This window comes from Homo sapiens, chromosome 20 (assembly GCF_000001405.40).
Source record: "Homo sapiens chromosome 20, GRCh38.p14 Primary Assembly".
Taxonomy (NCBI): Eukaryota; Metazoa; Chordata; class Mammalia; order Primates; family Hominidae; genus Homo; species Homo sapiens.
In genome coordinates, this window is record NC_000020.11 from 42,741,887 (window position 1) to 42,767,846 (window position 25,960).

At 43.9% G+C, this 25,960-nt stretch overlaps 1 protein-coding gene across 11 annotated transcripts in view, besides 1 other annotated feature; it reads right to left on the bottom strand.

Moving 5' to 3' along the window:
* The window catches only part of PTPRT (protein tyrosine phosphatase receptor type T), a 1,158,017-nt gene that overhangs the window by 709,997 nt on the left and 422,060 nt on the right, over positions 1 to 25,960 (bottom strand). For all 11 annotated transcript variants that reach the window (XM_047439848.1, NM_001394024.1, NM_007050.6 and 8 more), the window contains exon 6: positions 14,576 to 14,750. In XM_047439848.1, coding sequence (XP_047295804.1) covers positions 14,576 to 14,750 — 175 coding nt within the window. The remainder of the gene's footprint in view (positions 1 to 14,575; positions 14,751 to 25,960) is intronic.
* Positions 9,046 to 10,245: an enhancer, noted in NCBI's record as "CDK7 strongly-dependent group 2 enhancer chr20:41379572-41380771 (GRCh37/hg19 assembly coordinates)". NCBI's record gives its function as "activates an origin of replication core promoter dependent on BRD2, BRD4, P300/CBP, MED14 and CDK7 cofactors, with strong dependence on CDK7, by STARR-seq in HCT116 cells {active_cell/tissue: HCT116}" and the evidence as "EXISTENCE:reporter gene assay evidence [ECO:0000049][PMID:35650434]".

Genomic DNA, 25,960 nt, shown 5'->3' on the forward strand with positions numbered 1-25,960 from the left:
TCTGCTTATCTCAGAAGTCAAGAAATAAAGGCAACAGAGCCTGGAATTCAGCAGATGCATGCAAATATATCTGAAAAAGTTGGTTGGTCACTTAATTAACTATATTACCCTAACTTGGGACAAACATTGAAGAATAAAAGGTGGCGGTCAGCTCACAGAGGTGAGTCATAGAAGAAAAGCCACAGAGATGAGTGCAGATGTGCTCAGGGAGAAGGAGCGCCTTTCAGACAATTGAATCCCAATAGCACTGTGGGTAGATACAATCAGCTAACTCCGCCTACTATGAGACCAGACGCAGCAAACCTGCTTCTGATCACTGTTCAGCTCCCACAAAATGCTGACTGGAAACTATGGCATTGTCTGCATGCTGTGGGTATCTGTCCACTGCATAGATGGCCAGAATGAGGTTTCTAAGCCATCAAGGCGAGAAGGGCCACGGTAACAGACAGAGCCTCCCTGCAGTAGCACCACCTGCCCCGCCCTCACGGGTTGGACAAGTCACAGTTGGTTCAGCTTTTTCTCATTCCCATCACAGCCCAGTGAAGTTACTGGATGAGGAGAGGTGGTGCTGTACTCCACATAGTCATTCAGGGACCCAGGCTCCGATCTGGAGCTGCTGCCTGACTTAATATGTGGTCTCAAATGTCACAGCAGGAGGGGAAAAAGAGAGGGGGCTTGCATAGGGGAGTTTTTTAATAGGTCTGGCCCAAAAGGAGTGTATATCACTTCTGCACACACTCCTCTGGCCCCATCTGAATGGAGGAAGCTTGTGTGCCCAGAAGGAAAAATAAATGGTACAGAGAACGTAACATTGTCACACGAGTCTTTGAACTTTCTTGCTGGTATGAAGCAGGTCCCACACTCTGCGATTTCCACACTTTATTTCACTGATCCTCAGAAAACATGAGGCAAGAAACATCCTTCTGTCCCTTTCTACAGATGGAGAAACTGAGGCTCAGTCACGTGCAGAGTTGCATTCAGCAACATAAAATGAACAGAGCCAAGAATGAACCCCAGGTTTGCCTGCTTCTAAAGTGCAGCCTCCTCACCTCCCCTTACGAAGGGCCTTTCCAATTGCTTGCTCAGGCACAGCAAATTGCAGCCCTGTCTTGCTGGGGTCCCAGCAGTTCCTCACTCACGTGCAGAAGAGATTAAAAGAACAAACCACAGAGCACATTTTGCCGCTGATTAACTCAAAGAGGAGGCTTTCCCTCACTGAGAACAGATGATCAGCTGCTCTGCCAATAACTGCCTGCTCCGTACCACCAGGCCGCATTCCATCAAAAAGGCACAGTTTCCATTTACTGGGTTGAAAGTGAGTCACATCTGCCCCTGGATAGACATATAAAGCAACAGGCATGCTACTCTGATTAATAATGAAAAGCTGGTGCAAGCACATTTCATTTTAAAAGAGAAGAGGCCAAATCCTAGCCTCCTTTTCTACCAGGTTTAGGAAAGCATGAAAAAGGAGAAGGATCATATGGGTTAGGGGGGAAAAAAGAAACTTTAAAGAAGCAAAGAAATCTACCTGCCCAAGAGGTGGGAAAGCAGAGATTTTATTCTATTCTAGGAACCTTGTGATTCTGCAGAGCTGCATCGTTTGTTTTTTATACTATTTTAGAAAGGAATTCCATTGTTTTAAGGCGGGAATAAGCGTGAAGCCTGGCCTTAGAATACAACCCATTATTTTGACAAATAGTCAAGTCAAGGCCCTGAGCAATGGTCACTTAAGTCTAATTAGCAGGAGAATGAAGGCCACATCTCTTCTTAGGTAAATGTCCGCTAAGCACGGCTTCTGAGCTCCCTGGATCAAAATGAGCACATGTTGTGCAAGGGGCATGGGTGAAGTTTAAAAACAATACAACGTGAGCATACTGAACCTCATCGATTACATTGGGAACCCACAGCCACCCCAACTGTTGAGATACGGCTGTTTTCGGCATCTGCTTCCTGAGAATTGCTACTGTTTTGTTTTTTCAATGTTTGAATGTGTTGCGACGATTTCTTCATGAGAATCCTTTCTAAATGATTGGCGGTGCTTGTTTTTGAACTGCAAAATCTTTTACTCTACCTCCTTTTCTCCACCCACCCACCTGCGGTTGGAGTCACTGGGTTGCCGGTAGGTGGACCAACTGGCTTGGGCTGGAAGCTGGGTGAGGCCAGGTACAAGGACAGTTCCCATGACCAGCTGGGCTGGCTGGGACTGTTCACCTGGACACCCTACCTCATGTACCAGGCCCTGCCTGACAGGAGGATCACCAGTCCTCCGACTCCTAGTGCAAGACCTACCCTTCAGGATCAGACTTCCAAGCTGCCACATCTGGCCAGACTCTACCTGAGTTCATGTAGTTCTTGGGCTTCGTGGCCATAGCCAAGTCTGTCTCTAACCCCTTCCCATAACACAGAACACACAATTTTTGCCCTCATGTATTCTGGAATTTGTAAAGTCTACATCAAGAAAGAACATTTGGGAGGAGACTTTAAAAAAAAATCTTCAAAAACAATCAATACGTGACAAGAAAAAGATAATTGCTCAGCTTTCAGATCGTACAGAATTTGGACGTTTAAGCCCAATATCAGTGGGAAAGGAAGAAACATCTTCCCATCTGTTTTCAGGTAGGCTAGAAAGTTTTCATTCAAGACATTAAGCCTGTGGGGGTTTCTAATGGCTTTTTTTGATCCAAATTGTATTAATTAGGAAAATACTAATTGCTGTAACAAATAAACCCCAAGGCTTAGTAGCTTAACACAATAATAGTTTATTATCACTTCAATATTAATAACAGGCCTGCTTAGCAGACAATTTTCCTCCACAAGGTGATTCAGGGACCCAGGCGTGTTCAATCTTTTGACTCTCCCCTCACCTTGAAATTGTCTGCATCCAGCTAACCAAAGAGGGGGGTGAGCAGATGAGGAATGACTACATGCTTTTTAACTCTTTGACTCTGAAAGGACATGCAGCAGTTCTGCTCACATTCCTTAAACTGGAACTATTATCACAGGGCCCTAGTGATTGCAGAGCAGGCTGGGAATGAGGTCCGTGGTTAGGCAGCTGCTTCACCACTTTATCCTATGGAAGGGAGGCACATGTGCTTGGTGGGCACTTGGCCAGCTTTATTGGCCTGAAAGGTAGCAGAAAATTTCTCTCAGATCTCGGAAATGGGGAGTCAGTCTGCATTTACCTTTTGCTGTATTTCCCTGGATAGTTAGTGGGGAAATGGCAGAGGGAAGGCCAAGCATCACTAGTCAGAGTAAACCAGAAGACATATGTCAATTTTCCAGAAAGGGATTCTGGGGCTCAAATAAGTGGAACCACTTCTTCACAGCCACGTCACCAGCTCTGCCTTCCCATCCATACAGCTCCATTGGCCAGAGGCCCACAGAGGAAGTATCTTCCCATCCAGTTTCTGCACCTGGCGTCCTAGATGAATAGTAGGGCACTAAGTACAAAAGCCTTCCCATGGGGCAGGATCTGGGCCAGTACGACTGGCCTTTGGAGCTGGGTCATTCTTTGTTGTCAGGGGGCCATGCTGTGTATCGTAGGGTGTTTAACAGCATCTCTGGGCTCCACCCACTAGATGTCAGTACCCCCCCTCTCCCATCGTGACAATCCAAAATGTCTCCAGACATTGCCAAATGTCCCCTGGAAGGAAAATCACCCTCAATTAAGAATCACTGGTCCAGGCAGAGGCTGCAGTGTTTCAGAGATAAATTAGGCTCCAGTGACTGGACAAAGGCAATGATCTAGAGCATTCTTACTAAACTGGAGCCCATGGGTTTAACTGAGTTTAGCCTAGCCTGGAACTTGGGTTCTCAGAAAAAATATTCCATATATATCTGTCACGGAATAATACATTATGGAAAATTAGCATAAGGAGGGTCAGAAAATAGTCTCATTTATGGGCTCATTATAGGAAGAGGGCAGGCCTTGGACTGTGTGACTCTGATGAGACTGGGTAATCAGACTTCAGCATCCTCAGTGGTAACAGGGGACCATGGTGAAGATTAAATACAACCTCATGAGAAGACAGTCAGTGAAGTGTCTGGCATGCAATAAATGGTCCACAAATGGTAGCTAACTACAGACTTTGCAGCTTGTTCCATACCTCAGATCATTCTTCCATTTGAACACAGGAGGGTAATGTTCCAAGTGAATGAGAATTTAATGCAGTTGCCATTTGATTTAATTTCCAAATGCGTTAAAAGTGTTAATGCAACACATCAGCATGCAGCTGATAAAGTAGTCAAAATAATTCAAGGAAACCAATACTTATCAGGTTTTATTTATCCACATTTACACTTTTTTAAAAATAAGCTGGTCTTTGTGCCCATATAGATTACAATATACATAATATCTCCCGGTTAGCCTCCCCTCCACACATATGTTCAAGTGAAGTTTCCCACTTTTCTCCCATCTGTCATTTTTCTCTTTCCATAAAAAGCTAATGGTGACGTTATCAAAGAGTGAAGGAGTCAGAGGCTAAGGGTGGGGAACCGGGCACCCATGAGGAGGATGGGGAATGATGAGGAGAAGCACAAACATAGGCACGCACTTTGTTTAGGAACAATTTTCATAGCCATGGCCTCTGACCCAAATCTAGGGGAGCCGGCATTATTATTCCAATTAGGCAGTCATGAAATGATGGTCCTAATCCACTTAGCTAACACAAGGCAGAATCAGGATTTGAACCCGAGACCTCTGATTTGCTATCTATGTGTTCTTGACAATAGCAGTCATGGGAAAAAAAATGATGCAAGTATTATTAATAAAAGTTAAGACCAAAGAAAGATTAAAAAATAAGAACCAAAGCACCAGCATATTTTCCTACAAAGAATGAAACTCACGCAGAAGATGAGCATGTTGAGGTTTCTCTGCTTTGAAATAGGGTTCCAGGAAAGTCAAGATCAGGCATGAGATGAGAGGAGGAGGTAAGCTAAGTCTACCACAAAAAAACTTCCAGACCTAAGTTGGAGCATATATGATCCATATGCAGGGCTCTTGGGGGAATGGGTAGAACTCACACTGAGGCAAGCCTTCCTTGAAAAGGCATTGAAGAAGGCCCAGGAGTTTTTAAAATGACCACTCTAAGGGGCACATGGTGGGGTGGGTAAGTAGCATGGCTCTGGCAGGGCAACTGAGCCCCCTAAATTTGTAGCCAAATCAGAGCAAAGAAAGACCATAAGAGGAGCACAGGGAATTACAAAGCTCACAGCTCCCATAAGAAGGAAGAAAAGAATTAAGGAAACGTAATACTTAAAGGAAAAGGTAAAGAAACAGATACCTATAAAGGAGACAGAACTTTCTCAGAGGTAGAAGGAAAACCAGGAGCTCAATCAATAACGAGAACCTTAAAAAAGAAGGGATGGTGAGGGGTCTCGTCACATGCTTGTAAAGTAAGGACCTGAGCACTCTTCCCTGGATACAGCAAATGTTTAAGCCCCTTCTATATGCCAGGTACTGACTCAGGTACTGCTGGTCTAGCAGGAAATAAGGCTTACAAAGCTTCTTCCTCCAGGAGCTCATGTTCTAGTAGGAAAGATGGGTAATCCACAAATAGATGTAAATTACAATGTCAGATAGTGACAAGATCTAGGAGGAAAACCAAAGCACCCTGCAAAGGAACAGAGTTACAAAGGGAAGGGGTGGGAGGTGGGGGAGAGTGTTATTTCAGATAAGGTAATCAGAGGGGGCCTCTCTGAGAAGCTGAAGTCTGAGCAGAGACCAGATCGATAAAACAAGTGAGCTACATAATTATCTGGAAGAAATGCATGTCAGGCAAAGCAAGGACAGCAAGTGCAAAGGTCAGAACTAGTTTGGTGTGGTTCAAGGAAGAGGAAATGGATCAGCATGGCTAGAAAAGAGAATAAGAGGGCAAATATGGGGGTGGGGCATTACAAATCAAGGACTAGATATGGAGACCATGTTAAGAAGTTTGGATTTTATTCTGAGTGTGACAGGAAATTCTGGAGGCTTTTCAACAGGAAAAAAGCCATTATCTAACTTTTTCAAATGATCACTCAGGCTGCTGCATTGAGAATAGACATCAATGGGGCAAGAGTGGAGCAGGGAGGAAGCTGGAATAGTCATGCAGTTGAGAACAGAATAGAGTTTTGACTCATGCACTGATCAGCAAACTGTGGCCAAATCCAGCCCTCTGCCTGTTTCTGTAAATAAAGTTTTATTGGCACATAACCCATGCTCATTCATTTGCATATTTTTTATGGCTGTTTTTGCTACAACAGCAGAGTTGAGTCTTTGCTACACAGATCATATGACCTGGAAAGCTGAAACTATTGACTCTAATGCCCTGGAGAGAAAGTCTGCCAACCTTGTCGAGGATGTTGACAATAGAGGTGGTGGAAGGTGGCAGGCTCTAGATAAACTTAGGAGGTAGAGCAGAGGCCAGATGTTAGCCCAGGCTCTCTGATACCATGCCTGCTCTCTGATCACTGGGTGATATAGCCCTCCAGCTCCTCTTTACTTCTGAGGACTTGTGGAGAACGTGAATGGAAACTCTGGAGTCCAGTCTGAGGCCAGCCTTTGCTTTGTTCCACTCCCTATACAAGCACAGAGCTCAAGGTGGCTTTGCCTCTCCTCCTAGCATGAGCTTGTCCTCCATGGCTGCTGCCACCAAGGAGGCAGGAGCCAGCAGCCTTGGTCACCTTAGAAGGCCACAGAGGCTGTAGGATCCCTGTAGCAGAAGCTGTTGCGTCCCACCGCCACCTCAGGACTTATTATTGCACCGAGTGCAGTCCAACCTCCAACTGCCTCTGCCAACTGTCAAATAGCTAATAGACATGGGCTTCTGCCAAAGCCCTGGGGAGCGGGGGGTTACATCCTGTATGACAAGACAGTAAAGCCAGAAAATTAAGACCCCCAAGAGCAGCTCTCAACCAATGACTGGAGGGGGTTAAGGTACAAATAACCCCCTCCTCCACACCCCAGGGGTTCTACACTGAATCCCAGAATTACCTAGTAGGATAGAGCTCCAGACGGTCACAGCAGTTACTCACTTGAGAATGTACCCTTTATTCGCTGCCCTTGATTCTCTGTCTCATGTCCCTAAAACCAAATAAGCACCTTGCACTCGGAACTCCTGCCCTGAGTCTGCTTCTAGGGGTCTCAACGCCATGTGCCTTTTATCTTCACTCTTCTTTTCCAACGCAGTCTGTGCCAGTGACCATAGCCAGCTGTCTGACAATGGTTTTTCCCTGCAGGACCAGAGAAAGGAAGAACAGCTGGATGCAGAGATCCCACCTTATGAGTGTGCACACTACTATCCATGGCCATGGATAGGGTCCGTCACAGCCCCTAGACTACTACAGGATGAAGCCCAGGCTCCTATTCTGGTACAAAGACTCTGCAAATGTCCCCTTGCCTACTTATCCAGCCCCAAACATGTCACCCACTCAGTGTCTCAAAACTAACCCAGGCTGTCCTGCTTATGAGCTTGCCAAGCCACAGGACCCATCTCAGATGGGGCCAGTCGGAGAGGCTATCCCAGACTCTTCCAGACTGCGCTCATTGTTCCAACCTCTGTACACCTTTAGCTCACACCTGAATGCAGGGTCTACCATACTGGATTTTGCAAGAAATGTGGTATAAAAGAGACAGCATGGCCAAGGCAAGGCAAGCCTAGCTCTGCCACTTATGAGCAGTATGATCTTAGAAAGGTCCAGAACCTCTCTGGGTTTCCATGCTCTCACTGGTAAAAGGTGGTTGCTAACAGCACCTACGTCATAGGGCCATTGTTAGGATTAGGGAGGTAGTGTGGCAGGTGGCTAACATTAACTGACCATGCAGCACAGATTTGCATGATTCTTCCTGCTAGACCATGAGCTTATTACAGAACCTGACACAGTTGGGCTCCATAAACCTTTATTAAGCAAATGAATACAGGAATGAGTCAGCTACTCCAGGCATTCCATCTTTAAACTAGAGGCTATAAATGCAAATCACTGCTGGCACCAGACTAGTGAGAGAGCAAAACGGGACCAGCCAGGACAGCAGTCAACGGTGGAACGTGTGCTTCCAAAACAGGGACGCTGAGGAGCCCACTGTTGCCATCCTAAAATGTAGGCTCCAGGTAGCTATGCCTGATACAGTCTCAAGAAACTTGTAAATGCTGAAAAAAAACTTAAAAAGGAAAGAGAAGACAGTACAATGTAAGTAAAGCACTTTCGCAACTGACTTCAAACAATGGATTGGATTGGATGACCTCAATCCCATTTCAGAAGAGGGAGACCTTAAGATGATCTAAATTTAAATTTTCATAGTATGTACAGAATATCATTCCTTTAATCCAGGAAAACAAACAATGGACAATGTCTTTGGGAAACATTCCTTAATAGTAATGTAAAAAATATGATTACTACTAAAGACATAATTTTATACTTTCTAGTACTAGGATGTATCTGTTTATATATGTTACATATATATTATGCTATATATATGTGTTTTATATATTATATGTATGTTATATTTTCTCCCTCTCATAGGACCTATTTATATATATTCACCTCCATTATTCAGATAAGGAAAATGACGCCCAGAGTAAATACATGATTTGCTGAATCACACAGGTACCAGGGAGCAGGACTAAGATGGAAACTCAAGTGTATTTAGAACAATAATCCCTACTCTTGATCCTAACAACCTCCCTTGGTAGGAAGTCACATCAGTGTTTAAATCGGAACCTCTAACAGCACTAGTATCACATTTCTTCTGAGCACTAATTCTCATACTGATGAGTGTTCTGAGTGCATAATAGGTTGTTAAATGGAGTTGAAAGATTGGTTTAAAAATCACCACCGACAAGAAACTTTTTATGAATTAGAAAATTTTCATCAAGATACATCTGCATAACTTTGGTTGCAGACACTCAAGTCCTTGAGGCCAGCTAAGACACCTTGAAATTGAAGACACTCAGAAAACCAGAAGCAAAGCAAATGAATAAGCATTTGCTGAGCACTGGTCTGGACCAGGTAGGTTGAGGGGCCGAATTGTCAATTGAGCGAAACCTCAATTACAGAGTAATCTAATGTATACCCAGGTACATTATCACAACTCAATAAACAGCTCCCCAGAATTAAGTAATTCCAATTTGCTTTCATTTCGGTCTGTGTGTCGCCCTGAGAATTTGATATTACCTACCCTCACATTAGGCAGCATCTTCTGAAGTGCTAATCTTTACCATCTCAGGATCACACGTGAGCTGTGAGCCAGTCAGCCATGAATACGCCTGTTTGGGGAGAAAGAGAGACCAGCCTGGGCCTCTGCTGTTCCTCTCAGCCTGAGTACCTGCTGTGGAAGCCAGCACAGGGGTTTACAGCTCCCAGAACCCTCGGGTGCTGAAGGGCCCAGTGACCTCCCAACTGTGGAGTGGTTAGGGTTTTGAATGAACAATACCAGGAGAGGGGTGGTCCATGTAACTAGATGGCTGAGCACAAACAAAACTAGCTACTTTTCCTTTGTCCCCAGACCCGGGAATCAGCTTTCCCGATCCAGTAGGGGTGAACACAGGAAAGGACCAGAGAATTCTGACCTACAGGGACTTGTGATGGTTAATATTAAGTGTTAACTTGGTTGAAATGAAGGATGCAAAGTATTGTTTCTGGGTGTATCTGGGTGTTTCTAGGTGTTGCCAGAAGAGATTCATATTTGAGTCAGCGGACTGGGAGAGGCAGACCCAACCACAATGTGGGTGGACACCATCCCATCAGCTGCCAGCGTAACTAGAAAAAGCCGGCAGAAGAAGGTGAAAGAAGCGGACTTGCTGAGTTTTCCTGCCTTCGTCTTCCTCCTATGCTGCCCTCGAACATCAGGCCTCAACTTCTTTGGCTTTTGGAGTCTTGGACTTACACCAGTGGTTTCCCAGGGGCTCTCGGGCCTTTGGCCACAGACTAAAGGCTACACTGCCGAGCTTTCCTACTTTTCAGGTTTTGGAACTCTAACTGAGCCACTACTGTCTTCCTTGCTCCTCAACTTACAGACGGCCCATCTGGGTCTTCACCCTGTGATCATGTGAGTCAGTTCTCCTTAATAAACTCCCCTTCATATATACATATATCCTATTACTTCTGTCCCTCTAGAGAACCCTAATAAAAGACCCCATGACCCAAATGTCCCCCAGTCCACACTTTCATATTTCCTCCCTCCCTCTTCTTATACTCGGCACATCACCGTGTACCAACAGAGAACTGGGCCACACTTTACAGAACAGGCCTGACATGATTTCCCCAAAGCCACAGAGACAGTCATCAAATCGGCACCTGGGTCCAATGTCCTGTCCCCACCCATGGAGTCCTTCATCTCTCTTACTTCTTTGTCTGATAAATCCCACCCCTATGGGCAATTTATTTATTTTATTTAACAAATACCTTAGAGTGCCTATGCAGGGCACTGTTCTAAGAACTCCTACATCCATTATCACATGTCATCCTCATGACGCCTTCTGAGGGAGGTAATCCTACATTCCTGTTCCCAGATGAGCCAGCTGAGGCCCCAAGAGGTTAGATCATGTTCAAGGTCACAGAGTTGGGACAAGGTGGGGCCAGAATTCAGACCCAAGCATCTTGGCTGCAGAGTTATCTCCTGCCCTGAACTGGAACCAAAGGGTGGGAACCTGTGAGGAGGAAGACCTTGAAGACATGGTTTTCTTTCTGTGATATCCCAGGGTTGTGGGTGACGTCAGTCCAAGAAGGAATCCAGATCCCATCCCATAACACAGCACTTGGCCCTTGAGAATCCTTTTTCTTTTTTGGTCTGTTTTTCAGATTTTCTCCCTTCTCTGAAAGAAGGAGGATTAATGCTTTTCCCTTGTATTTTTTTAAACAAGTACAAATACTTCAGTATTAAAGTACTTAAGCATCCTGGCTCCGCAAAGGCAAAGGGCTCTTGAGAGGTAAGTGAGTCATTCTTCATCACACAGTTTCTTCCAAACGCTTGGGTTTGCTGCCTTCAAATGGGTCCCTGGGCACCCACTCCAGGGTGACAGGTTTCCTCTGGTTGCTTCTGCTCCTGAGGGGGTCCCTGCCTTTTATTTTCTTGTTTTGCTTGGATGCCACTAACTCTTTAGCAGTGTGTTTGGGGTCGGGGCAGGGGGTGAGGGTAGGTTAAATGTATTTCTCCAGCAATCTGGAAGTTAGCTGACAGTCAGGAAGGGAATATCACGTGTCAAAATGGCAAGTTAGCTAGACGGACCCAGGGAATCCTGCTTGCCTGGTACCTGGGCCCCTTCAGCACTGCTCATGACATTGTGGCACCAGGTAACAGCAAGACCACAACCCACCAGCCCTCCAGGTGTGACCAAACAGCATGAGCCAGATGCAGGTCGGACTCCAGTTGTACCCCTTGGGATGGTCCTGTTTCTCAACCTGGCTGTGCTAATTCTCCCACTCATGAAATGAGTTAAAATAAAACCAATGTACAGAGCTGCAATTAGGAAAAAATCAGGTAACATATGTTGAAGGGACTTCTTTACATGCAAGGGACCAGGCTCCTAGCTTACCACCATCATAATATTTAAATGGAGGAAAAATGGGCACTAAAAAACTGATAACCTATGCCAAAAATATGGATGAATTTCATCGATGTGTAATAAAATTACACCTTGATTGACCAGATTACAGGAAGTGCCAACCCCCCACTGTTCAATGTGAAGGAGACTGGGTGCCACCCACCACCCCACCCTCCCTAAGCTGGAGTGGCAGGGGCTGCAGGTGAGTGGCTTCAGAGCAGTGGTAGCTGCGGAGTCATATTGCCAGGCCTGGCTACTGCACCCAGGCTAGCACCAGCCCCTCCTCTTGACTTGGGCCCAGGATGCACAACCAGCAGAGGACAAATCAGTGTCCCCGTAAACCCTGGCCACCTCTCCGAATAAAGCAAGGATGCTCCACCACATCCTCTGTCCCAGTAGCCTCTTGGTTTCTCTTCCCATAGCTCCCATCCTGCCCCTGAATGGGGGCATATAAGCAAATAATAAACCAAGCGTTTTCTGGTTCCATTTGTCTGCTCATGGGAATTTCAGAGTGCTAAACTAACTCCCATAGCCACTGGTCACATTCTTTTGCCACCAACTTTGCCCCATGTACATGCAAGGTGCTAGCAAGACCATGAGGAGCGGGAATGAACACAGCACACCCTCTCCTGGGACTCTCAATCTGGTGTGGGAGACCAGCCACGGAAGGTATAAGACACATTCCAGCAGGACATCTGAAAATACACATTCACTGAGAACCTGAATGGCCTGCAATAACCCCTGTGTCACATAATACAAATATAATAATAATAAATCTTCAAAAAAAATTTTTTTTTTGAGATGGAGTCTCGCTCAGCCGCCCAGGCTGGATTGCAGTGGCATGATCTCAGCTCACCACAACCTCCGTCTCCTGGGTTTAAGCGATTCTCCTGCCTCAACCTCCCGAGCAGCTGGGACTAGAGGCACGAGCCACCACACCCAGCTATTTTTTGTATTTTTAGTAGAGACGGGGTTTCACCATGTTGGCCAGGCTGGTCTCAAACTCCTGGCCTCAGGCGCATGCCACCACACCCAGCTATTTTTTGTATTTTTAGTAGAGACGGGGTTTCACCATGTTGGCCAGGCTGGTCTCGAACTCCTGGCCTCAGGTGATCGATCTGTCTGCTTTGGCCTCCCAAACTGTTGGGATGACAGGCGTGAGCCACCATACCGGGCCACACAAATTAATCTTATGGCATCAACAAAGCAAAGATAGGAGCTTAATGCCATCAAAGTGGTGGCTTCTTTTCTATGTTAATAACATTTAATGTAAACAAATTTAAAGATTTTTAAAGTTTTTTTTCATAAGTGCCTAACTTGTTGATCTTTGGCTTAAGTGTTCATGGCATTGTGGTGAGGAAATAATAAACTCCTGCTGAGGCCAATAATTCATTCACTCTTCTATCAGTCCACACATTTTTTCAAGTTGAGCCTTGTGAAATGACTGATTGTGCAAGTCAAAACAGGCGAACACTAACACTTCATATGGTTTAGCAAACTGAGAACCAGTGCCAGGCACTGCGCTGAGTGCAGGGACTTCCAACCCAGCAGACAGCCCTCCTCTCACAGAGCTTAGATCCTAAAAGGGGAGACAAAAAGTCACCAAGTAAACAAATAAAGGCAAACCAGCATTTTAAAGTGTGATAAAAACTATGTGGAAGAGGAGACCAGGTAATGAGAAGGAACTGTGACCACCAGGAAGGGAGGTGTGGGCGGGGGGTCAGGGAAGTTCTCTGGGAGAAGACGACATACTGCCATTTCAGCTGAGACCTGAATGATGGCACATGATCAGCCATGTGAATGTCTGTATGAAGTCAAGACAGCCAGCATAGAGAATCCCAGCCTGCAACCCCCAGTCCAGTTGGCCCAAGGATCCCAGTCACACTGGGTCAGCAAAATGAGGTCAAAGTTTCCACACCCACCCATACTTTGACAAAGGAAACTAACTTAGGAGGCCTCAAAGGCTCGATCAGTGGGGTTTTTTTTGTTTGCTTTTTGTTTTTTCCCTTCAAACACACCAGGTCTCATTCTACAGCTAGCATAATAAGAAAAGCTTCATTATTTCATTCACTAAATTATGCTATATTAAAATTTTAATCGGCAAACATAACATTGGTAAAATGAGTACATCCATACACTGCAGTTACCAGTGTAAACTGTCAAACCATTTTTTTTTTTTTGCAAAAGCAATATTGCAACACAAAGAAAAATCCATAAAGATGCTCATATTCTTGGCCTCCCAACTCTACCCCCAGGGAATTTATCCTAAGGAAATAATCTGGTTCAATAGAATAAAATGTTCTCTCCAGAAGAACTCCATGGAGGTGCTAATTGTTACATACACAAAGGAAAGAAAAAAACAAGACACGTGGAATTATCGAAATGACTGCAAATGGGGGGGTTTAACAAAATAGGATAACTCATTGGATGAGATAGCATACGATCACTAAGCATCATAACAAAGATGACAAAGTTGCAGAAAGAAATGGGATATCTGGCTTTTTGAGAGAAGCAGAAAACAATCTGCATATTTTAATGGAAAGCATGTAAACAGTATCTCAAGGTGAACAAGAACAAGAAAATTGAAAAGAATTGAATCAAGGCCAGTGGGGTGAGGAATTATTCATTTCAAAAGTCCTTCCAAAATATTGTCATTGTATTGAGTTTTCAATTTTTAAAAAAAAATCCCTCAGAAACAATAGTACGAGAACACTGCCACAGCATGCCACCCAAATACAAGGACATTTGTTCATTCTAACTTTAAATACAAAATAAAGCCAAATTTGAAGATGTCTTCTGTGTTATATATTCCACAGTCTTTCACGTATGGCTCTTGTATGTGAGACTCAAGTTGGAATAGCAATGCAATGTTGCATGATTTTACCATAGTTTCTCCCGTTTGGGGAGTTTGTGTTGGGGAGGGAGGCCAGAGTGACTAGAAATTAATCTCCTCTTTTACTGAATGTGGGGGAGGATCAGCAGATGAGAAAAGGGGCTTTAAGGCCCATTAATGCCAACCTTCCATGGCAGTAGAGGCGCAGGCTGGAGGCACTCACCTTTCACGATCAGCTCCGCGTAGTTGGACACACCAGACCCACCATCAGAGCGGATCACACAGCGGTACTTGCTGACGCTCCGCTGGGCAGTGTCTGCCACACTGACTGTGGCTGAGAAGCGCCTGTGGTTGACCACACGGGTGACCATCAGGGCCGTGTCCCTGCCATTCCATTGCTGCAGAACAGAGGAAGAGAGGGAGAGGAGGAATCATAGCATCATAGGCTTCTAGGTGACTCCCAACACGGATATCCACCCATCCTCACACCCCTGGGGCTCAAGACTTTCCACTATAATAAGGGATTTCCAGCCAGGCACAGTGGCTCATGCCTGTAATCCCAGTGCTTTGCAAGGGCTGAGGCAGGAGGATCATTTGAGGCCAGGAGTTTGAGACCAGCCTAGGTAGCAAGCAAGACCTTGCCTCTACAAGAAATTTTAAAAAATAGCCAGGCATGGTGGCACTCATCTTCAGTCCCAGATACTCTGGAGGGTGAGGAAGGAGGATCGCCTGAGCCCAAAAACCAAGGTTGCAGTGAGCCATGATCAAGCCACTGCACTCTACCCTGGGTGACAGAGGAAGGCCCTGCCTCTTTAAAAAAAAAAAAAAAAAAAAAAAAGGGCAGGAGTTTTCATGGCTGGTTTGTGCTAATGAGCTGATTCAAGAATAAACTTTGCTAGTGAGCTGATTTGAGGACACAGGCCTGGTGGTAAGAAGAGAGGAAAAAGGCTCCTTCTAAACACTTTGGCTCAGCCTGCATTTGGGGCTGGCATGTAGCCCCTTAACTTTCCTCCCTATTTTCCTTTTTCCCTTAAGCAGAACTCATAGCATTCTTTCAGACAAACTTCAGCAGACTTAGTGAAAACCCAGCCCATGGAGAATAAACACCGCCTGGCTCACAGGCCCTGTGGCTGGTGCCCTGCTACCCCACCCCACAGGCTCTGAGCCCCACCTGCCCTAAGCTATCACCACAGGTAGGGAGGGGATGGGAGCCTTCCAACACCTCTCTTCCTTGGCACATGCTCTTTTCTCTGCCTGGAGGGTCTGGTCTCCCTGGGGACACTCCGTCTTCCGTAAAAAGCCACGTTCAGCTCACAGCCATCTCTAGTCAGTTCTCACAACTGTCACACCATCTCTGGAATCTTATCTATGTATGATACAAACTTTCCACACACATTTGCCCACAAGTGTTGCCCATTTTACACTGAAGGACTTTCCTCTGTTCATCTTTAGAAGCTTGTCTGAAAGCTTCCCAAGTTGGTAGACATCTCTAGAATCAAGGTGAATACACGTGGGCTTTTGTCTTCAGCATCCTGAATCTCAGGAGGGATATCCTGAGTTTGAACAAACCTCTTTCACAGTTGCAGGTTATGAGAACTGGTAAGGCACATGCATGTTGGTGCAGTTTGAGTGGATGTTTATTAATGTTATTAACTGGATATTTATCTACTATGTGCCAGCCCCTGAGCTGGGTATTTTTGTATAAATCTTCATTGTGTCTTCACAGCCTTGTTTGGGGAGTGTACAACTGCTGCTCTTCTCAGAAGAAAAATCCAAATGTCTAACAGTTTAACTAAATGTGTAGAGTACACAAGCCCCTTATCCAGGTTTTCCAACTTCAAGTCAAGCACTGTTTTTACTAAGACCATATTCTCAGTGCCTGCTTTAATTTGAAAACGTTTTTCCCCAAAAAGTGAAATTGACTCCTTTAATTATCTGGACTTAGGGAAACCTTATGACTTATGATTCTCATGCCCTGAGTCTCCCAGTCTCGCAACGCGATCTTCATTGTTTCCTGCACCAAGTAAACAGTTTCCCCATGTGCATAACCTACTTTCATCTATGTCATCTTTCCTCACCCTCTACAGTGACCTGTCAGGAGAGGGGCACAGGTACAGGTAGAGCCACACTGCTCAGCTCTATGGCAGCAAATGAGGGGAGACCAATACCAGGGGAAGGCAGTGATCATGAAGGCCAGAAACCCAGGGTATCCCAGGCCCCCATCAAAGGGCAGCTAAGAGAGACTTGCTCCAGGCTACAGGCTACAGGCTCCAGGCTACAGGGAGATTGTAGGTAATATTTTGCTGCTGCTTTTTACTTTTTCACATTCTTCAAACTTTCTGTCTCAAACACGTATTTGCTTTATACTTGAACATAAAAAAAAATGGTATTGTTCAAAAGCCATGGCAGAATGAGAGGCAGCCATAACTCCCTCTCATGCCAGAAACTAACCAACATGTGGAATAGTTAGTACACATCAGAGCAACATGCATGGGGCTGTAAGAGGAGAATCTGAAGCCAAATGCCAGCTCTGCAGCTTCCAAGCTATGCAGACTTGAGCAGGCAATTTCACTGTTCTGAGCTGGAAAGTTTCCATTCGCTTGCCCGAATAAAAACCAGTACAAGGTAATGGAAGGGGAGAAAGGTCACTTGGGCGGAAACTGCCATCCAGCTTCCTCATGCCTTGAGGCATCTTTGCAGGAGATGGCACAACTTGGACCCCACTATGAGAACCTAGGAGACACCACATGCAATGCCCCGGAAATTCCCAAAGTAGTGCAGGGAGAAAGGCGGGAAAATTCCGGCAAACACCAGGAATGTATCCTGATTTGGAGAAGAGATCACTTAATGAATAGGAGGGCCTTGGAAGCAGGGGGTCATCAAAAGGAGCCCATCTTCCCCACTGCTGAGCAAGGCATTTCAGGGCCACCATGGGGGATAAGAATGAGTTAGTGGTGAGGCTTTGGCTCAATATTTTCTAATATGAGTTATTTATAACATCATAAACACTTTTATTTTTTCTTTATTAAGCTAATAACAGCTAAACACTACTATGTGCTAAATGTTTTATATGCTTTCTCATTTATTCCCCATGAAAAATAAGGTAGGCACACTTCTTATCGCTGTCATATATAAGAGGAAACTGGGCTGGGCGTGGTGGCTCACGCCTGTAATCCCAGCACTTTGGGAGGCTGAGGCGGGCAGATCACGAGGTCAGGAGATTGAGATCATCCTGGCTAATACGGTGAAACCCAGAAATCAGGTAGCATAAAAATGCACAGAGATACAAATGTTAGGATGTCAGGAAGATGGAGCAAGACATTGAAGGAAAGCCCAAAGTCCTGGGAAATGCCACAAAGAAGCATAGCAAGGATGTGTGCACACAGAAGTCCAGGAAAAATTCCGTCAGATAAGGCCCTTATCTACCACTTGGCTTCTCGGAAATTTTCTTCTGGTTCCTGCAGTAGTTTTTCAGATTTAAGTATATCCTTCCTCTGAACTTTTAGGGCATGCTTCTTTTCCTTCTGTGGCAAGATTTTCAAGTCAATATGTGTGTTGTTCTAAAGTGAAATCATCGTCTGGCCCTCTGATTCCACGAGTCAACTCAACAAATGTCCCAGTGGGCCCCAACAGGTGGTGTCTCTGGTTGGGCTCACTGGAAGCAGACTTTGACACATGGAGATTTATCAAGTGCTTTCAGGAGAAAGGATATAAAGGACAGAGTGAGAAAAGGGGCTAAGAAAGGATGAGATCACAACTGGAGTCAAGCTCCAGCCTGGTCCCACAAGGAGTCATGGAGCATGAAGTGTACCCCAGAGTGGATGGTACCTTGTGGTTGAACTACTGTGTCCATCAGTCATTGGTCAGGGCTCACGAGGCAGAGAGAGGAGGAAACTTCTTACTTGACGGAGGGCAGCTCTCTGGGAAAAGGAAGCTGTGAGGCTTTAGCAGCCGACATGCCCAGTGCTCTAGGGTTGAGGGCACTTGCCTGCAAAGGGGATCTGTCCAGGACACTAAAAGCATGCATTCCACTTGGCACTTTCCTGTCTCTGCCTTCTCCTACAGTAAATTATACGTTGGGTTTCCTGAAATCCAATGAGCTACTGCCTTGAGATTTTCTGGCAGTCTGTTTCTAAATCTGCTTTTTTTTTTTTTTTTTTTTTTTTTTTACACATGGGGCTGGGAACTGACCTCAGTAGCACACTGGCAATACCAGGTGTGAGCATAGCTGTAATTAAGCACTGCTTCCTATGAAATGTCACTCCATCTCACATAAATAAATCACTCCGTAGCTGAGCTTGATAAACATTTTGTTCAACTTAACAAGATTTATCTGAGCGTTTATCAAGTAAAAGTCACATCAACTAACAGTTTTGAAGGCTGACTTTGTGCCAGCCACTGTGTTAATGGCTTACATAATAGACTGTTCACTTGATCCTCTTAAAGTCCCTGTCAAAGTTCTTCTCAAAGAGTGGTCCCTGAATCTACAGCATCGGCCTCATCTGGGAACTTGTTAGAAATGTAAATTTGTAAGATAATTCTAGGGCTGATATCCACTTGGAGATGTTGTTTACTGGGGTTGATAGTCTGAGGTTTTTCCCCTTTCTCCATTCTATTATTAATCATGCTGAAGATGTACTCATTATTTTACAAAACAGAAAATGAAAGAGTGTGGAAGGTATAATTTCTGCCCAGAGGAATTTATAGGCTGGATTAAGATTGTAAAAACAGTAGAAAGAGTAAAACATAAACACTAAGTCGAGCATTGAAATAGTATACTTCATGGAGGAAAACAGGTCTGGCATGGAGACAGAAATGCTCTTAGAAAAATCTAGAGCTATGGTTCTCGAACCATGGTCCCCAGACAGGCTGCACTAACATCCCCTGGGAAATTGTTAAAAATGTGAATTCTCAGGCCAGGCACGGTGGCTGACGCCTGTAATCCCAGCACTTTGGGAGGCCCAGGCAGGTGGACCACCTGAGGTAGGGAGTTCAAGACCAGCCTGACCAACATGGAGAAACCCCATCTCTACTAAAAATACAAAATTAGCCGGGCATGGTGGCGCATGCCTGTAATCCCAGCTGCTCGGGAGGCCGAGGAAGGAGAATCGCTTCAACCCGGGAGGCGGAGGTTGAGGTGAGCCAAGATCGTGCCACTGCACTCCAGCCTGGGCAATAAGAGAGAAATTCCATCTCAAAAAAAAAAAAATAAAACAAATAAAAAAGTGAAATATCTAGCGCCATCTAATAAATTCCCAGACCTAATGAATCAGGAACTTTGGGAATGGGGCCAGGCCATTTTTGTTTTAACAAACCTTCCTGGGGATTCCAATGTCTGATAAAGTGTGAGATAAGTCCTACTAGTAATTCCTATTTAATGAATAAGGAAACTGAGGCAGAGAGCGGTCAAGCAATATGGCTTTTAGTAGTACTTCTCAGACTACAGCATACAAACCACCTGGGGATCTTGTTAAAAATGCACATCTTGATTCAGAAGGCCTGTGATGGGGATTGGAATTCTTCAGGTCTTGCTGATGCTGCTGGTCCATGAACCTTACTAGGAGGAACAAAACCTGATATCACTTTGCTGAGGGGCTGAGTTAGGATTGGACCCAGGTGATCTGATACCAGACACTGAGACATTAATCACATCACCCATCTGCCACCTAGTACTAAACAGTACACAGCTACACTTAGCAACTCTGTGAAAGGAGGGTAGAGAGTGCAGTGTTCCAGAAACTTACTTTGTTTGTTCAAAGAATATCTAATGATAACTTGCAGAAAATGACTGCTTCACAGAAAACAGTTTTGGAAATGCTGTGATAGAAGCCCAGATGCCTAGCATTCTGGAAATCTTGGAAGACCTTAGGTCAGAAATATATATGTAAGAAGGAACAGAGTATCTTCCTATATTCTTGGCCATCAGATTCTTTTAATATATTATTAAGTTATGGCATACCTGGTATACTATTAGGTTGGGGTGAGGTTTCCTTATCCCCACTCTTTCAGACTAGAACAGTAGTTCCTAAATTTTAATGTGCATCAGAATCACCTAGAGGGTAATTTAGGAGGTCTGGGGTGAGGCTGGATAATTAGCATTTCTAATTGGTTCCCTGGTGATGCTAAATTCTGCTGACTTTACCCTGGGTCTCAAGGACTTAAAAGCTGATGTCCTCTTAAGTCCCTTAATGGAAAGCAAGGGGCCAAATAATACCACAGAACACATGAATGGAAAAATTCCTTAAATCTAAGACCATGTCCTGAGGATGAGCAACTGGTCACTGCACCAACAGTGCCCAGCTAAGAGGCGGGAGTTGTGGCCCCCAAACCCAACCCATACTCTATTGGCAGAGCCAGGAGTTCTGACTACAGCCATGAGTCCTTACTGAGCCCCCTTGGAGGGAGGTCACTTTTGTGCTTTGCCCAAGGGCTCTATCTGCATATCAAGCTACATATCTATGGAGCTGCATCTGCCCAGAAGGTGAACCCCTTTTCTTCCAATTCATCCGTACAGGAGGGATACATGTTCTAAATTGAAGAAAGGCATTTTACAGCCTAATCGGTGGTTCTGCTTAATCCCATTTTATGTTTATGTTTCTCTGATTATGTTGCCTTTGAAATCTCTCTTTTTCTTTCCCCTTTTTCAACTGCTTGCCTTGCTCTTTAAAAACAACTCAAATTCCAACTTCCCTTGGCTTACTTTGTTTTATGTGGATAAGTCGGCTTGGTTTGAGAGCACACACTCATTGGAAGAACAGGAGCTGTAATAGCTACACTTTAATGTTCTGTCCCCAGCACAAGTGCATCCTTCCACCCCCAGGCAAGACCCCTCTATTTTCAGGAACCACCTAAAGAGGAAGGCAAGAGTTGCACCTGATGCCACAGAGAGTGCTGTTTTCCTACCGTCTGATTATCTATCAAGGTTTCTGTAATGGCCTTGCCATTTTGCAATTCCCCATCCACTCTCCTTTAGTGTCATGACATTATTTCCTTCACAAAGAGGTAAGACAAGACTACAAAAATGGCTGTCATTATTTCAGAAAGAGCAGGAAGCCTTGAAATTGACTTGTAATTGGCAGAAGTGGAAACAGTACTGTCTTTAATAAAAGGAAACCATTTCTGGTTTTGCACAACAGATACTATGCCTGGTTTACAGAAGATATTCTAATGCAGGATCCTGGAAGCCTTCAGTGTGTTGGTTTGAACTTCTTGGCATCAAAATAATAAAAAAAAATGATAAAGATAAAAATATAAAAATAAAACAAAATAAAATTAGGCCCAGCATTTCCAGCTGTCATTTGTTCCAACTGCTCCAGGAATTTCCTGGCCAGAAAATATTTAGGTGAAATTCCCACAATTCACTTGTAATGCGTATTCTTTTCACTTCTAGTCACCCTGCTGCCACGGCATGACATTTAGAAACTTGCTAAAATCTAGCCCATTGATTCTCTTAAGATCACATTTGTACCTTTTTGGCAGTCTCTAAAGAATAGCTTTTGATTATTCTTTATTAAAAGTCAGAAGAAATAGAAGTAGACATAAATCATTTTTGATTAGCTGTGCTGAAACCCTTCCAAGAGCCCTCTATGTACGTGGCTGACTGCTCATTTTGGGTTGATTTCTGGGTTTAGAACTCCTGCAAAGAGTCAGGAGGGACCTGGCATAAGTCCCACAGGGCTTGGTGGGGGACAAAGGAAACTAATGAGAACATGAAACTTAATGCTGCTTGCTGTGTGGTGAATAACAAAGTTCTTTGTCTCTGACCCAGAAGTTTCATGTCTTCTGCCAGCATCTATGAAACTGTGGCAGTCTACCTTGTGAGCCTCCAAATAAGGTAAAATCTTAGGCCTTTCATAGTTATTGATAGACAGTTTCAAGTGGGCAGTAAGATTTTTGTGGAGGGAGCAGTCAGTATCATCAAATCTGAAAAGAGAAGTATAAGGCCTGCGATGCACCCTTTGGCTATAGCAATGAGGAAAGCACTGGGGACATTTACAAGGGCCACTCCTTGGAAGAGGTGGCACTGAAGAAAGCCTCATTCCAAGTGTAGACGTCCCATTTAAAGAATGTGGCTAGGAAGGGGATAAGAGAATTAAGAAGGCAACTAGGGGGTGGGGAGGCAATTCAAAAATAATTCCAAGGGCATTTTATTTCATTGATCTCATGTAGATTTGAGAAATTAAAATATACTTAAGTATCTGGTTCAGCGGCCAATAAATTTAGAAGTGTATAAATATATGCTAAATAAAGAAATCTGTTTTTAAATAGAAAGCCTCCTGTATAGAAGGAAAGGCTGGAGTGTAACCCAAGGTGACAGGGCCATGAGGTAGGCATGGAAGAATGAGCCCAGGACTGAGAGACAGGACCTATGTTTCTTCACACCATGCTTCTGCTGCTCACTGCCTGTGTAATTCCGAGGATGTCATCTACCCATCTAAGGCTCAGTCTCCTCACCTATAAACAGGGCTACAATCACATCTAACTGAAAGACTGGTTATGAGAATTAAATACATCCTATGTGTAAGCACTTAGTAAACATCAGCTGTTAAACATAGTATCATTACATTATCATCATTGCTTAGTTGCAGCGTGACCACTAGATTGTCAACAGAAATGCCACACAGAAGGGATGCCTGGTTCAGATGCAGGCAGGTAGGTAGGAGGAGGAGCTGGTCCCCAGAACACTCACAGCCTCAGAGGCCAGCAGCAGCCCTGCAGGAGCAAGGAAACAGGTTTACTGGGCGAACCGGCTGCAGTAAAGACTGATATGCCTCCTCAGCTCATCAACCCTGTTGCAGCTGCTGGAGTGCAGGCAGGAACCTTTTCCTATGAGATTCAGATCTGCTCCCAGTCCAGTGAATGCAATTTGTCTGAAAACATACACTGTCCCTACAGAGATCTGCACAGGGCGTTTGGACACATGGCTTCATTTCTGAGACTCTTCAAATGTTATTTGTCATAAAAACCCCTCGTGGATTGAATCCTTTGTAGGGAGGCCTGAGAGTCAGCTCCATGGTGGGGCTGACAGACTCTGCTCTGGAGTCCCTGAGTAATTCAAGGAAAGAGCCCCATCCACCATGCTCCTTGATAAAGACAGGAGGACACACATAAAATATTTCTAAACATGCTTCTGGATGAGTAGTGTCTGATGGTGATGATGGGGGTGTGGGAAAAACCTGTGTCCTCACTGTTGGAATTAGCTATGCCAAACCCAGCAAAGGCTTCTTCGTATACTAGGAGTATTCTGTAACTGGGAAAAAGTGACCATTTTTCTTTTTTTAATAGCATTTTGTTTATGTTAGTTTCCTGTATTCATCTTAGAATATTTGGATAAAACAGAAAAGAATAGCGATGAAAATAAAAAGCTTCATAATCTATTATTACAATCAAGTGTCTTAATATGTATTTCATGGAGTTATAGGAGTGTCTATGTATATACATATGTATATACAGATTATATATATTTATATATTATGTACATGAGCATGTATATGTGTATATATTTTTTCATAAAGCTTAATATTATATGACTCTATAACTCATCCTTTTCACTTACATGTTATGAAAATGTTAAATATACTTCTAAAATCTGATATTTAATGATACCATTCCCTCATTTACTTAATCAGTCTCTTTTGCTGAAAATTTAGGTTCTTTCCAGCCTTTTGTCCTACTGAACACAATTGCAGATACATTTTTGTCCCCATCTCTAGATATTTCCTTAGGTAAATTTCCATAAGTAAATTTACTCATTGGAAAAATATGCATATTTAAGGCTTTGGATATCAACTGCCTAATTATCTTGCAGAAAAGATGTACACATTTATATTTGCTCTGTGCTACACTTATAATTATGTTGGTATAGCCCCACCTAGTTGTATCCTGAATGTCATTTTTTAAATGGACTCCACAAAACTGTAGACCACTTTGTTTAGTGGCTATTCCCCTTGGAATGCACACCATCTCCTTGCTTGAAAAATTGCTTGCAAAGTTACATGTCTGGATTCCTCAGGCCAAAGTATCACATAAGGAATAAGCAAGTTATGACTGAGCCCCTTCCACCACAGACCACGGCATCATACACTTCACCTCAAGGAGAAATGATCCCAGGACAAGAAGAACCTGCTTATAATTTTTTACTAGCCTTCTATCATCCTTTTCCCTGATTCACTACAATTGTTCTAGGCTCATGTGTTTGCATTTCTGCATCGGTCCTGTCCATTGACTCTCATGTAGAACTTGTACTGTAATTCCACAAAAGCCAGCACCGGCAGATGGGATCTTCTAAAGACATATAAAGTTTCCAGAGGGGTGCAAAACAGGGGCATTGGCTGGTCCTCCTTTTAACTTATTAATTTATGATCCAAAACCACTTAAGGAAAAGCAAGCTATAAAGTCCCACTCTACAGAAAAGAGGGCCAGCATTTCACCACACAGGCAACAGGGATTTATCTCAAACTATGAATCCACTGGCTCCTTTCTAACCACTGCCAGAAAGAAGGGCCACCGACATACCTGCTATGCTGGAAACAACATCTTTATTTCCCTGAATTACAACTGGCCGAGTTGAGAAGTTACCACTTTCAGTGACTTAGTGAAATTCCTCAGCATATCTCAGAAGCTACAGCAGGAAGTAGCACTGCTACACAGTAGACCTGCTGTAGCTGTCTTATAGAGACTCTTTTGGCCATGATGGGCCTGTTTCATTTGCTTTGGAAATTCTCAGGCTAAGTCACCCCAACCTTATTATATGAGGCAGAACAACAGCGAGAGTGCCAGCCACTCCTCTACTGCTTGGACACATCTGAAGAAACATCTCAGGAGAAACTGGCCACTGCCTTGGCCTGTCTTGGATGGTGGCTGCGATCCTCTCTGGGGTGGCAGGTGTGTTGATAGGTGCCTTCTTTTTGTAGAAAGATGTTAACCTATGTGATGGTTAATTTTATGAGTCAACTTGACTGTAACAGAGTACCCAAATTAAACAGTATGTCTGGGTGTGTCTGTGAGGGTGTCTGGATGAGATGAGCATTTGAATCAGTGGACTCAGTAAAGTGCATGGCCCTCCCCAGCGTGAATGGGCACCATCCAATCTTTGGAAGAATAGAACAGAAAAGCAGGGGAAGAAGAGTTTGCCCCTTTGCCTCCTCCCTGACTGCTTGAGTTGGAACAGTGGTCTTCTCCTGAACTTGGACTAGAATTACACCACTGCCATTCCTGGATCTCCAGCTCGCAGATGGCAGATCATGAGACTTCTCAGTTTCCACAGTCACATGAGCCAATTCCTGTACTAAGTCCTTTCCTTCCATATAGGAAGGACATATTATATATGGAAGGAAAAGACTTACTATGGATGGAAGTGTTTACATCTATAAGGAAACACTTATTAAAAAAACTATATATACACAAATATATATTAATATATACTTACATATAAATATTTTCCTTAATATATTTAATAAATTTTTATAATATATATTTTATAAAATATATATTTTCTTTAATGAGTGCTATATAAAGATTATATATTTATATATACATATATTTTAAACATAAATATATTACATATAATTATATATTTTTATATATTATATATGTTATATAACATATA